This window comes from Homo sapiens, chromosome 3 (genome assembly GCF_000001405.40).
Source record: "Homo sapiens chromosome 3, GRCh38.p14 Primary Assembly".
NCBI classification, from domain to species: Eukaryota; Metazoa; Chordata; class Mammalia; order Primates; family Hominidae; genus Homo; species Homo sapiens.
Window position 1 is genome coordinate 21,167,788 of NC_000003.12, and position 14,494 is coordinate 21,182,281.

General features: G+C 35.2%; 1 long non-coding RNA gene across 1 annotated transcript in view; it reads left to right on the forward strand.

Annotated features, from left to right (window-relative positions):
* Positions 1-1,290: 1,290 nt before the first annotated feature.
* Positions 1,291-14,494, forward strand: part of LOC105376988 (uncharacterized) — a 52,487-nt gene continuing 39,283 nt past the window's right edge. The window contains exons 1-2 of the long non-coding RNA XR_940646.3: positions 1,291-1,715; positions 3,714-3,832. This is a non-coding gene — a long non-coding RNA (uncharacterized LOC105376988). The remainder of the gene's footprint in view (positions 1,716-3,713; positions 3,833-14,494) is intronic.

Sequence of the window (14,494 nt, forward strand, 5' to 3'; positions counted from 1 at the left end):
GTGAATTTTTATTATTCTTAAAGTCATTCACAGCACAATTTTAATGATACAATACTTACATTCTATCTGGCACTCTTGTACGCGCTTTGTTCTGCAAGTGACTTTTTATAGTATATTTACATCCATTTATTTAACCTTATTTTATTTATATAAAATATAATTTCCATGGTCTCTGGATTTGAATATCAAGAAGCAGTGGGCAGGTTAATATGCCACAAGATGTATGGGCTGGGATTTCATTTGGTCAGATCACCATACCAGTTTGTCAAACATTTCTAAGTTTAAACAAGGGTAAGGATGTAATGGGCAATTCTGCTTCCTTCACAGAAGAATAATTATAAAAAGGATGATGAGATAAAGGCCTATTAAAATATGTAGAATCTAATCTTCCCATGAGCAGGTTAAATGCCCTCTTGGTCATCTGCCATTTAGAGAAGAGAAACCTTATTGCTCTGGTGACTTGGAGTCTAGCAAGTTTCCAGTAGTTGGTGTAGCCAGTGTTTTCATTGAAAAATGTGGCATAGAAGCTAGGGAAAAATAATATCAATAGGTTGTTAATCAGATCAGCTTGAGATAGCAACTGCCTTGCTGGGAAGCCTCTGAGGAAAGTTCCTATTCTGTTGGTTGAGAAGAACTTTCTCTCCTTTTTCCTCAGTGCTTGAGATTATTGAAGAAACGTTTAATTGGCCAAAGGAAGGATTTCAATCATGTTTCCAGTAACGTTGATTGTGAAGAATGTATTAACATTTCAACTTTCCAAGTGAAAAAACAGAAGTGCAGATACGTATTGTGCATTTTCTAGTTATTTCTAGAGTTTCCCAGGAAGGGATAATGACTGCATTTCCCTGATGATTGCTTCACATCAACCACTCTCCATTACTGCTCTTAACACAAATTACAACTACTTATTTGCATCTTACCTCTGTGGCTTTTAAGCTCTCAGGAATACTCTACCCAAGTATAATAAGAAGCCTGTGGCTGGGCATGGTGGTTCACATCTGTAATCCCAGCACTTTGGGAGGCTGAGACAAGCAGATTGCTTGAGCTCAGGAGTTTGAGACAAGCCTGGGCAACATGGCAAAACCCCTTCTCTACAAAAAATAAAAAAATATAGCAGGGTGTGGTGGTGCATACCTGTAGTCCCAGCTACTATGGAGGCTGAGGTGGGTGGATTGCTTGAGCCTGGGAGGTTGAGGCTACACTCAGCCATAATTGTGCTCCTGCACTCCAGCTTGAGTGATAAAGCAAGACCTTGTCTCAAAAAACAAACAAACAACAAAACAAAACAAAACAAAACAGAAAAAAACACTGTGATACATGTTGTGATTTAGTACCAACATTATCCTTCAGTAATAAAGGATTTAATCTCCCAGCTACTGGAGCCTCAGCTTTTAGCCCCTTTCAGGTACTGCCTTAGATACAGAGACCCGACTTACTCAAAGTCATGTCACCTTTCTGGGATAGCCCATAGCCAATGACTAATCAAAGGTCCAAAGGCCCAGCTGTCTAACCCTCAAGTTGGAAAACTTAGACGGTGTATCTCAGCTTCACAACTTCCTGCAGGATCTCATGAATACCACTGGGACTGTGTTGCAGGTCAGTTTCTCATTTTGCCCAATCCTGCCTTATTCTTTTTCCTTCCATAGGTTGTATCTCAAGAACAGTCCCTAGCAAACTTCCTGCACACTGAACTCCATCTCAGAGTCTACTTCCTGGTAAAAACCAATTGTCCTGATTCTAGATCTCTGATTTGCCATTATTTTATGGAGAATATAGAGTTAATTCTGCACTAATGTATTTTGTATCCCCATTTTGAATACACACTTCCTGAATGGCTTAAATAAATGAAAATAACAGTTGAATTTAGATGATAGGTTTAATAAAAGAGATTGAGTTTACAGGATTTAAGATGGCCCTTGTCTTAGAGAACATGAGATAAAATGAGGGAATTTTACTCATAATAGAGATAATTAGATTCAGATCTTGAATACATTAATTAGAAATCAAGGATATGAATTTAAGTGAATGTCTGAAAAAAAGGAAGGAACATTTTTCTCTATAATCTTCAGTGTTTGATAATTAAATAAAGGTCCCAGAGGAAAGTCTATTTTTTGCCTTTGAATCTTCAATTGTTGGATAACTACTGGAGCAAAGGCATTAAATTTTCTACAGGAAAAGAGTTTTGAGCAAGGAAAGAAATTTTTCTTGCAAATGCTCCTAGTGAAGAACACTTAAGCTCATTACCCAATATACATAATAAAGCCACTCACTGAACCTCCTGAGAGCCCCTTGGCTAAACACAATTATGGACAGTGAGCATGGAGCCAAGAGGAAAACAATTTTTTTTCATATTAATAACACTTTTGGAACCATTTCAGGAAGCGTTTCCAAATATTTAAAAGAACCTTAAATAGATTTCTATAGGGAGTTTTATTTCGACATTCAGGTACTTTCTAGATAGCTCTGTAACTATGAGCTCTCTATGAGCTCTTAGCTCTCCCCAGTGAATTTGCGTACCTAATTTAACACACTATCTTTGTTTCACAAACTGTAGCCATAAAATTTTCCTGCTTTCTTTGAGTTATTTCAGTCTGAGATTTAGGACATTTCTAAGTTTTAACTTGTCATGTCTTCCCGGTACCATTAAATCATAGCATTCTCTTAATTTTCCCCTAGATAATATTTACTGAGGCTTAGAATTTCAAAGTTAGCTAGGGCTGAATGTAAATGAGAAGTCTCTCTAACAACCTACATTAAGAAAATCATTGCCCTCCCTAATCATAGAGAAGTCTCTGACTGTGATGTGGGCTTATTTGCTATTTTACTTAAATAATGGTATTAGTTATGACTTCAAACCAAAATATTACTAAATATGACCTTTGAAATAGAGACGTTCTGTTGAACAACCCAGCATGTTTCCCTCCCCTCCCTTCCTTTGTTTTCTTCTACCTTTTGCTCTCTTCTTTCCACATATATTCTTTGAATCTATTGTCATCACTGATAGGTGTCAGTAATCCAAACTTTGTATATTCATTTATTCCACAAATATTTAATAAACATATATTATATACTCAGACATATGTTAGACATTTTAAATACATGTGTTAGTCAAATGAGCATTTCTTTGCTCTAAAGCTCAATAACATAAGTGATCCCTGATCTTAAGGAGGTCACTATGGAGTAGGAGACTCAGACATGCAACAGCTAAGTATCAAATATGTTATACATATTAGTTACTACACAAAAATGAGTTTGAGAACTTCCCAGTTTGAGAGCTGCCTTTGGGATTCAGAAAACTATCAATAACAGAGAAATGCAGGCAAGGAAATAGCTTTGTGGGCTTAACACTGAAATCCTGGAACTGCACCTTTAGGGGGTGCTAAACTGTATGGTCTGCAAAGAGGAAGCATTGAGCATTGAGGCTGGAATATTAGCAAAGGGGTAGATCAGGACCTTGCATTCCTTACTGAGAAATTTAGCCGTGGGAATTATATCAAAGAAAACAAATTGACCACCAAAGATTTGGGGTCCCACCAAAGATTTCTTCCCAGCCAGGGATTACATACTCCAGTTTCTAGCAAATCTAGATGATAACTGGTGTTCACTTATTGAATGCAAGCAGCTGAATTATGTGTCATTCCCAGATCAAGGTGGTAAAAAACAATTAGTCTTCTCCATTGCTTCTTATCTCCTGTTTGAATAATGACATCCAGGGCAACCTTGGAAGACATATGTAGATGTCAGAGTCTCCAGCAACCTGAGTTACTGAATTACTGGGCATCAGAACCTCCAGCCTGGAAACCAAGAACACCTACATTAGATGAACATACAAGTGAGAAATCAACTTTTATTCTGTGATACTATTGACTTTTTTAAAAAATTTTCTTTGTTACTGCAGCTAGTGGGCTTTCTTCTGATTAACATAGCAACTATTAAAGGACTTTTTTCATATGAATATGATGTAATCAGGTGTATATTTTTGAAAAATGCTGCTATTAGTGTGGGCAGGAAGATCATGTGATTGGGAGGCTTCAATAAACCACTAGAAGGACAGGATCTGTATCAGAACTTCTATAGCAGAAAGAGAAAGGATAGCTTTGGGTGCCATTTGGATACTCCATCCTTCAGTAACTGCTCCAAGCTTAATTAGGGATAAGTCTAGATAGCCCCCAGGTTTTGAAATATGAAAGGAAAATTTTTAAAAATTAATATGAAAGTATCCAATGAATAATGAAATTTATGGTAAACACATATTAGTTTTGGAGCACCTAAAATGTAATTATCAGTGATGACTGTATTCAGGACCATCATATTAAAACATTTGAAATGAAAGATTATCTTTTAATGGGAAATCTACATTCACTGTAAAAAAGAATACCTTTGGCTTAACTCTTCTTCATAGAAAACGATTTTGTGTGTGTGTGTGTGTGGAAGCTACCCACCTCATAAAGACAGGACTGCCATGATATATTTCAGGCAAGAGTGCCTAGAGACTTATAAATGCACGAAGAGTGGAGTTTGAAGAGAGAAATTCCCTCTGCCAGGGTGCAGAATGCCAGATAATGAATCCTTATGGAGGTAACATTACAAATTGGAATCTGGAAGGAGAAAAGAACTCAGGGAAATAAGAGCCGTTATAGAATGAATGACTGTGGTAATTAAGGTTATGGGTAAAGATGGGTTTAGCTATTGCAATGCAAATAAATCAGGAGTGTGTTTCAAGCAATGAAACAGTGTGCCTCTTGGAATTTGTCAAGTTCTTGCCTTTTTTGTTTCCATATAACCTAATGCTCTAGTCAGGAAATATCTTACAATTGTAAGATATATTGAAAAAAGGTAATTGCTAAAATATGAAAAAAAGCCTTATATATACACTTAGCTTCCTTGAACTAATTTTGGATTATAGCAACAAAAAGACGTCAATCATATTTCTCAATCAGTATTTAGCGTATCATTACCAACCTTGGCAGGGATAAATGACGTTTGTAGGTGATGTTAATGAAGATGACATTTTAAATTCAGATTGGCAAAACTCAAAGCTTCTATTTGTAAAATAATGCCCTAATATGACACTAGATCTCTGAGGCAATGTTTCAATCATTAAGCCAGAATATAGTTTGGTTAAATGTTTTATGTATAAATTGATTATAATTCTGTTTCTTAAAAATCACTTTTATATAATGAAGATTTCTGTTTACTTTTTGGATTTTATGTTGTTTATTAGTTGTCTGTTTTCTGTTTGCTTTGGGGGGGTTGTTTTGTCCTTTTAAAAATGTTAAGCTGATACACTATAATTGTATGTATTTATGGGGTATATGTGATATTATGATACATGTGTACAATATGTAATAATCAAATTAGGTCAGTTACATCCATCACCTGAAACATTTATCATTTCTTTGTGTTGGGAACATACAAAACCCTCTCTTCTAGATACTTTGAAATATACAATAAATTATTGTAAACTGTGGTTACCTGCCTGTGCTGTAGAACACTGTTACTTATTATTCCTATCTAACTGTAATTTTGTACCCAATATCCATACTTCCTCCTTCCCTTCCCAACATCTGGTAACTACTATTCTAATCTCTACTTCTATGAGATCTACTTTTATAGTTCCCACATATGGGTGAGAATGTGTGATATTTGTCTTTCTGTGCCTGGCTTATATTACATGACATAATGTCCTCCAGGCTAATCCATGGTGCTGCAAAAGGCAGGATTTTATTATTTTTACGGCTGAATAATATTCCATTGTTTATATATACTACATTTTCTTAATCCATTCTTCTGACAACGGACACTTAGGTTCACTCTATTTCATAGATATTGTGAATACTATTGTGATAAACATGGCAATGCAGATAACTCTTTGATATACTGATTTCTTTTCCTTTGGATATGTACCCAGTAGTGAGATTGCTGGATCATATAGTAGTTCTATGTTTAGTTTTTTGAGAAAACTTCATACTGTTTTCCATAATGGCTGTACTAATTTACATTCCCATTAATAGCATATAAGTGTTCTGCTTTTTCACACTCTCACCAGCATTTTTGTCCTTTTGATAATAATTATTTTAACTGGTGAGATAATATCTCATTGTGGTTTTGATTTACATTTCTTTAATGATTAGTGATGTTGAGCATTTTTTCATATACTTGGCCATTTGTATGTCTTATTTTGAGAAATGTCTATTCAGATCATGTGCCTATTTTTATATGAGATTATTTGTTGTTTTGCTGTTGAGTTGCTTGAGTTCTTTATATATACTGGATGTTTATCCTTGTCAGATGGATAGCTTGCAAATATTTTCTCCCATTCTTTCAGTTGATTCTTCACTCTTTTGATTGTTTCCTTTGCTGTGCAGAAGTTTTTTAGTTTGATGTAATCCCATTTGTCTATTTTAGCTTTTCTTGTCTGTTTCTGAGTTCCTACCCAAAAATCCTTTGCCCAGACTAATGTCCTGAAACATTTTCCATATGACTTTTTTCTAATAGTTTTATTGTTTTTGGTTTTATATTTAAGTCTTTAATAAATTTTGCTTTGATTTTTGTTATCATGAAAGATAGGGGTCTCATTCAATTTTTCTGCATACGGATATCCAGTTTTTCCATTAACATTTATTGGAAGGACTGTTCTTTCCCAAATGTGTGATCTTGGCACATTTAGTGAAAATCAGTTGGCAGTAAATATGTGGATTTACTTCTGGGTTCTCTATTCTGTTTTCATGCCAATATGGTACTGTTTTTTTTTTTTTTACTACAGCTTTGTAATATATTTTGAAGCCAGATAATGTGACGCCTTCAGCTTTGTTCTCTTTGCTCAGAATTGCTTTGATTATTTGAAGTCTGCTGTGGTTTCATGCACATTTTAACTATCTTTTGTTTCTGTGAATAACGTCATTCCTGGGATTAAATTTTACTTAATCACAGTGACTAATCTTTTGGATGTACTGTTGGATTCAGTATGCTAGTATTTTGTTGAACATTTTTGCATCTTTTTTATTAGAAATATTGACCCGTAGTTTTTTTTCATTGTTTTTGTTTTTTCTTGTGTCCTTGTCTGGCTTTTGTATCAGAATAATGCTGGCCTCATAGAATGCATTTGGAAGAATTACTTTTCCTTCAATTTTTTGGAACAGTTTGAGAAGAATTAGTGTTAATTCTTTAAAAGCTTGGCAGAATTCAGTTACAAAGGCATCTGTTCCTAGGTTTTTCTTTTGGGGAGTTTTTAAAATTACCGATTTAATCTTATTTCTTGTTATTTGTCTGTTTAGGTTTTCTATCTCTTCATGGTTCACTCTTGGTAGGTTGTGTGTGTCCAGGATTTTATCAGTTTCTTCTGTGTTTTCCCATTTGTTGGTGTAAGGTTGCTCTAATGATCCTTTGTATTTCTGTAGCATCAGTTTTAAAGTTTCCTTTTTTCTCTCTGATTTTATTTATTTGGCTCTTCTATTTTTCTTAGTTACTCTAGCTAAAGGTTTCTGGATTTTGTTTGTTTGTTTGTTTGTTTGTTTTTAAAAAAAACCTTTTTATTTCATTGATATTTTGCATTTATGTCTCAATTTTATTTATTTCTGATCTTTGTCTTTCCTTCTATGACTTTTTGTTTTTTCTTCCTTTTCTAGTTCCTTGGGGTGCCATGTTCAGTTGTTCATTTGAAATCATTTTACCTTTTTGATTTAGGCATTTATTGCTATAAACTTCCTCCTTAGTACTGTTCTTAGTACTTCCTTTAGATTTTGGTATGTTATGTTTCCATTTTCATTTGCTTCAATTTTTAAAAAATTTCCTTCTTAATTTCTTCATTGACACATTGGTCATTCAGAAGCATGTTGCTTAATTTCCATATATTTTTATAGTTTCTAAAGCTTATTTTATTGACTTCTAGTTTTATTCTACTGTGATCTGGAAAGATGCTTGATATGTTTCCAATTTTTAAAATTTGTTGAGACTTTCTTGTGACCTATCATGTGACATTTTGTCTTCTATCCTGAAGAATGTTCTACATGCTTATAAAAATAATGTGTATTTTGCATCTATCAGATAAAATGTCGTGTACATGTTGCTTAGGTCCATTCAGTCTAGATTATAGTTTAACTCCAATGTTTCTTTGTTGATTTTCTGTCTGGTTGATCTGTCCATTGCTGAAAGTGGGATGTTGAAGTTCACAACTATGATTGCATTGCAGTCTATCTCTCCTTTTAGATATACTAATATTTGCTATACATATTTGGTTATTCTAGAATTGGGTGCATATATATTTACAATTATATAGTCTTGCTGAATTGACTCCTTAATTATTTTATAATCACCTGCTTTCTCTCTTTTTATAGTTTTTGACTTAAAGTCTATTTTATCTGATGTAAGTATGGCCACTCTTACTCTCTTTTGGATTTGATTTGCATGGAATATCTTTTGCTATCTCTTCATTTTCAGTCTGTTTTTCTTACATGTTAGATGAGTCTCCTGTGAGCAGCTTAGAGATGGCTCTTAGCTTTTTATTCATTCAGCCACTCTTTTAATTGGATAACTTAATTCATTTTTATTCAAGGTTTTTATTGATGGGAATTGGCTTACTTCTGCCACTTTAAAAATTTTTTACTGGTTGTTTTGTAGATCTGTCCTGCTTTCTTCTTCTCTTGCTTTCTTCCTTTGTGGTTTGATGTCTTTCTATAGGGGTGTGTTTTGGTTCTTTTTCTTTTTACTCTTTTGTGTATATTACAAGGTTATGCTTTGTGGTTACATTGAGGCTTACATAAAACATCTTATACCTATAATATGTTATAAAGGTATTAAAAGCTTAATTTTGATTGCATACATAAACTACCCACTTTTGCCCACTTTTCCGAAGTTTTATGTTTGTAATGTCATATTTTACATCTTTTAATAATATGAATCTCTTAGGAGATTATTGTACCATTATTTTAATAGTTTTACCCTTCGACCTTTGTACTAGAGATATAATTGTTTGACTACTGCTCTTACAGTATTAGTGTTTAGGATTTGATGATGTATCAATTTTTACCAATGAGTTTGGTATTTTCATATGATTTTATGTAATTAATTAGTGCTTTCTTCCTACAGCCTGAAGAACTTACTTTAACGTTTTTATAATGTAGGTCTACTGGTGATAATCTCTCTCAACTTTTGTTCTTCTAAACATAAGTCCCTTCAGTTTTGAAAGACAGAATTGCTGGGTATACTATTCTTGGTTGGAAGTTTCCTTTTTTCAGGATTTTGAATATATTAACCCACATTCTTCTGGTTTACAAGGTTTCTTCTGAGAAGTCTACTGATAATCTTACAGGGGGTTTCCCTCTACATGATGATTCGCTTTTCCCTTGATTCTTTCAACACTCTTTGTCTTTAATTTTTCACAATTTGACGAAGATATGTCATGGTAAGAATCTCTCTCTTTTTTTTTTTTTTGGATACTGAGTCTCGCTCTGTGGCCCAGGCTGGAGTGCTGTGATGCAATCTCAGTTCACTGCAACCTCAGCCTCCCCGGCTCAAGCGATTCTCCTGCCTCAGCCTCCCCAGTGGAGGTGGCTCTTGCCACCATACCTGGCTAATTTTTTAATTTTTAGTACAGACAAGGTTTCACCATGTTGGACAGGCTGGTCTAGAACTTCTGACCTCAAGTGATCCAACCGCCTCAGCCTCCCAAAGTGTTGAGATTATACACATGAGCCACCACTCCTGGCCAAGGATCTCTTTTAGTTCATTTTATTTAGTGTCCCATGGGCTTGTTGAATTGTGCATTGTAATTCTTTCCTCTGAGTTGGAAAGTTGTCTACAATCACTTCTTTGAATTTGTTTTCTGTCCCTTTTCCTATTTCTGGCATGCCAATTATTCATAAATTGTTCTGCTTGATAGTGTCCCATAAGTCTCATAAGCCATTTTCACTCCTTTTTATACTTTTTTTAAACTCCTCAAATTCGATGATTTCCAGTGGTCTGTCCTCACATTTAATGATCCTTTTTTTCTGCTTGATCTAGCCTGTTGTTGAACTCCTCTATTAAATTGTTCAGTTTGTTTATAGCATTATTGAGATGTATGATTTCTATTTGGTATTTAAAAATATTTATTATCTCCCATTTGAGATCTCAACTTGTTCTTGCAATGCTGTCTTGACCTCTGTAAGCATCTTTATGACAATTATTTTGAATTCCTTTTGAGTAAATCACAAAACTCTGTTTTCCAGGTCAGTTTCAGAGAGTTATCTTTTTCTTTTTGAAATACATTCCCTTTTTTTATTTTACTCACTTCTTTGTGTTGGTTTCTATATATTAGATAAGAAAACAATTTATCTCAATCTTGTTAAACTAGCATTATTTAGAAGAAGGTTTTTTACCAATCTTTCCTTCCAGAGATTTTAAGGTGCCTCTTTAATCTTTTTTCTTTTTCATTTCTTTCTTTTTTTTTTTTTGGCCTGGACTGTTATCTTTGTTTTTGGTGCCTACCTGGGGCTTAGAATATGTCCCATCTTGTTCATACCCTAAAATGATATAAGAGGAGTCACATATTTTAGATGTACCTGGAAAGATTGGGAATGTTGGATGTGAGTTCCAGTAACTTCTATTTTCATAGTGAGGATGAATGAGGGCATTTTTTCCCTACTTTATCTGGACTAAGCCAGGGAAGAGGACCTGTGGCTAATGCTTGTATTCATATTCAGGCTACACCTTCTGATTCTGAAAGGATAGATGCTGGAAGTGAGCTTGTTATATGTTCTTCTGTTTGTTTTCTGTGGTCTTGGGTCACTCAGGATTGCAATATTCCCTTGAAGTCTAGAAATACTTCATTAAGGAGACAGTTCCTTAGGTGAAACTATGGAAGTTGTGGTGCTTATTGCATGGCCAAACTCCTTTCAGAAAGACTGGATATGCCTGGATTTATCTCTTGGGTGAGCTGGGGAAGGTAGGTTTTATGAAGTGTCAAGCTCTGGCTCTGGCTACTGTAGTTAGATTGGTTATTTGTTTGATTGTATTCCCTGTTAGCTCCTTGATGCAAGTTCGTTAGAGCGCAGGCCATCAATTAGCCACTGAGAATGTGTGTCATGAGCCACTTCCAGAAAGAACGTGAGAGCTTCATGTTCCTACCCCCTTTTCTGCATACTTCAAGAGGGTATAGGCCCTGGAAGTGTTTGGATGTCCATTTAAGACCACCTCTTTGTTCTGGGATCAAGGGAGATTCACATATGCCTAGGCCAGAGCTACTAGGTTTAGAATGGAGTGTTTTAGGAGGCAGCTTTAACAACTGGGGCTTCTCATGTGTGTTCTGGATCTCTTCTAGGGAGAAACAGGGAGTTATTTGTTGTTGCTGTTTTTTAGGCCTCTTCTTTGCCCTAATCCTAGGGGATGTAATACCTTAAAGAGCCTACATGCTTGTACAAAAGCCATGGCCACATGGTCACTGCTTTTTTTTTTAACCTGTGGTTTAGAGAGACACATGTATATGCCAGCCCTTTCTGCTCCCAGAGTTAGGAGATGTCCATTTAAGACCACCTCTTTTTTCTGGGATCAAGGGAGATTCACATATGCCTAGTCCCTCTGTGCCCAGAGCAACTAGGTTTAGAATGGAAGTCGTTTAGGAGGCAACTTTAACAACTGGGCCTTCAGAGTGTGTTCTGGATCTCTTCTAGGGAGAAGCAGGGAGTTGTTTATTTGTTGTTGTTTTTAGGCCTCTTCTTTGCACCAATCCTAGGGGATGTAGTACCTTAAAGAGCACACACACTTGTACAAAGCGATGGTAACTGCTTTTTTTTTTTTTTTTCACCTGTGGTTTAGAGAGACACAGGAGTATGCCAGTCCTTTCTGCTCCCAGAGCTAGGAGATTTATGATTCAGTCAGTTAGGTAGATGTTAATAGAGTTGGGGTGTTTGGTGTGGTTGTAAACTTTTCTTTGGCTGGCCCCAGGTTAATAGTTGACTACCTCTTTTAACTACCTGATACAAGTTGGTTAGAAGTCAGGCTACCTGCAGCCACTGCAGGGGTATTTCACAAACCCCTTCTGGGGGAAACAAAGGGTTGTGTCTTTTATACATCCCTTCTCTGCACTACTCCATGGTGAATAAAGTCCCTGGAAGTCCTTGCATGTCCTTAAAAATAACACCACTTCGTTTCCTACAGTCTTGAGAGACATGAATGTGTCTACTCCCCTCTGCTCACACAGTTGGTGAGTTAAAAGTCAAACCATGGAGAAACTTGGGCTTTAGGCCCTATGTATGAGACCCAGACTCCCTTCACCACAGAGGGAAACTAGGTGTTGGAGAGTTATTTCCCAATTTTATGGTGCAGTGCCCAAGGTGGGGTCCACACAAGTGTGCCTTGGCTTCTCCTACCTACTCAATGTGCATGTTTGCTCAGTGGATCGATGGGTAGGATTCCTTCAGTTGCTCTCTGATTTTCTCTCAGAGGGTGTTGATTTATGGATAGATGTTTATTTGGTGTATCTGTGTGTGGAGGGAGAGTCAGAAGCTTCCAATTTCCCAATGTTGGTGACATGACTATATTTTCTATGACTAGTGATAGAAAATATAATATACCATCCAAGGAATTGATTCGAAATTGAGGTTTTCAAATTCCTTTATATGACTACAGAAAATTTTTTATTTATTCTTAAAATATTTTTTTTTGTTTTCTGATAATAAAGTTTTTATGTGCTCAGTCTACAGAGCTTAGAAATTATAGAAAAGTAAAAGAATATTAAAATATTTAAAAATAATGTGTCTTTCTTTTTTCTTTATGCATAAATAAACGTGGTGTGCTTTTTCTTGCAATGTTTCTTCATATATTCTAATATCAATAATATTCATTTACATAATTTTAGTAGCTGCATAATGATCTATCTCATAGATGAACATATACTTTTACATAATTATTTTCTTTCTGAAAATATGGAATATTTCCACAATTTTGCTATTCTAAAACACACACACACACGCACAAAGGAATAAAAAACCTCCACTTGGATAAATTTCCATATGATGTTTCTATATCTGCACATATTATTTTCATAGCAAAGATTCCTTGAAGTAAAATTACTACATCAATGTGCATAAACCTTTTTGAAAGCTCTTGATATATATTGCTGAAATGCCCTCTAGGTCGCCTCTAGCAATTTACACTCTCATCGTTGGCTATTCTTAACTGGGCCTAGTGAGCTTTGATTATCATTACTGTTTCTAACCTGTGTCAATTTGATAGCTGAAAAATGAGATCTCATTGTATTTCCTATGTTTTTCCATTTCTCTGTCTACAAGTGGAAATAAGTTTTTTGTTAGTCATTTATATTCTTTTCTCCTTTAACTGACTTTCTAAACCTTTGCATATTATTGTTTTCATGATACTGATTTAACACAATATGTTTTTAACAGTGTATATTCTAAAATATTTTTTTCTAAACTCGATTTTTTACTTTTGTACATATCTTTAAATTATTCTACAGATAAATTCTTTATTCATTTCATCTTTAAAATTCATCCATGACATAATCATTTACTAGTTACTTGTATTTTTAAGTTCTTTTTAATATATTTTATAGTTAATCTTTTAATTTATAGATTTTGGCTGCATAAATGTCTTCTTTTGAGAAGTGTCTGTTCATGTCCTTCGCCCTCTTTTTGATGGGGTTGTTTGTTTTTTTCTTGTAAATTTGTTTGAGTTCATTGTAGATTCTGGATATTAGCCCTTTGTCAGATGAGTAGGTTGCGAAAATTTTCTCCCATTTTGTAGGTTGCCTGTTCACTCTGATGGTAGTTTCTTTTGCTGTGCAGAAGCTCTTTAGTGTAATTAGATCCCATTTGTCAATTTTGGCTTTTGTTGCCATTGGTTTTGGTGTTTTAGACATGAAGTCCTTGCCTATGCCTATGTCCTGAATGGTAATGCCTAGGTTTTCTTCTAGGGTTTTTATGGTTTTAGGTCTAACGTTTAAGTCTTTAATCCATCTTGAATTAATTTTTGTGTAATGAAGGGATCCAGTTTCAGCTTTCTACATATGGCTAGCCAGTTTTCCCAGCACCATTTATTGAATACAGAATCCTTTCCCCATTGCTTGTTTTTCTCAGGTTTGTCAAAGATCAGATAGTTGTAGATACGTGGCATTATTTCTGAGGGCTCTGTTCTGTTCCATTGATCTATATCTCTGTTTTGGTACCAGTACCATGCTGTTTTGGTTACTGTAGCCTTGTAGTATAGTTTGAAGTCAGGTAGCGTGATGCCTCCAGCTTTGTTCTTTTGGCTTAGGATTGACTTGGCAATGCGGGCTCTTTTTTGGTTCCATATGAACTTTAAAGTAGTTTTTTCCAGTTCTGTGAAGAAAGTCATTGGTACCTTGATGGGGATGGCATTGAATCTATAAATTACCTTGGGCAGTATGGCCATTTTGATGATATTGATTCTTCCTACCCATGAGCATGGAATGTTCTTCCATTTGTTTGTATCCTCTTTTATTTCATTGAGCAGTGGTTTGTAGTTCTCCTTGAAGAGG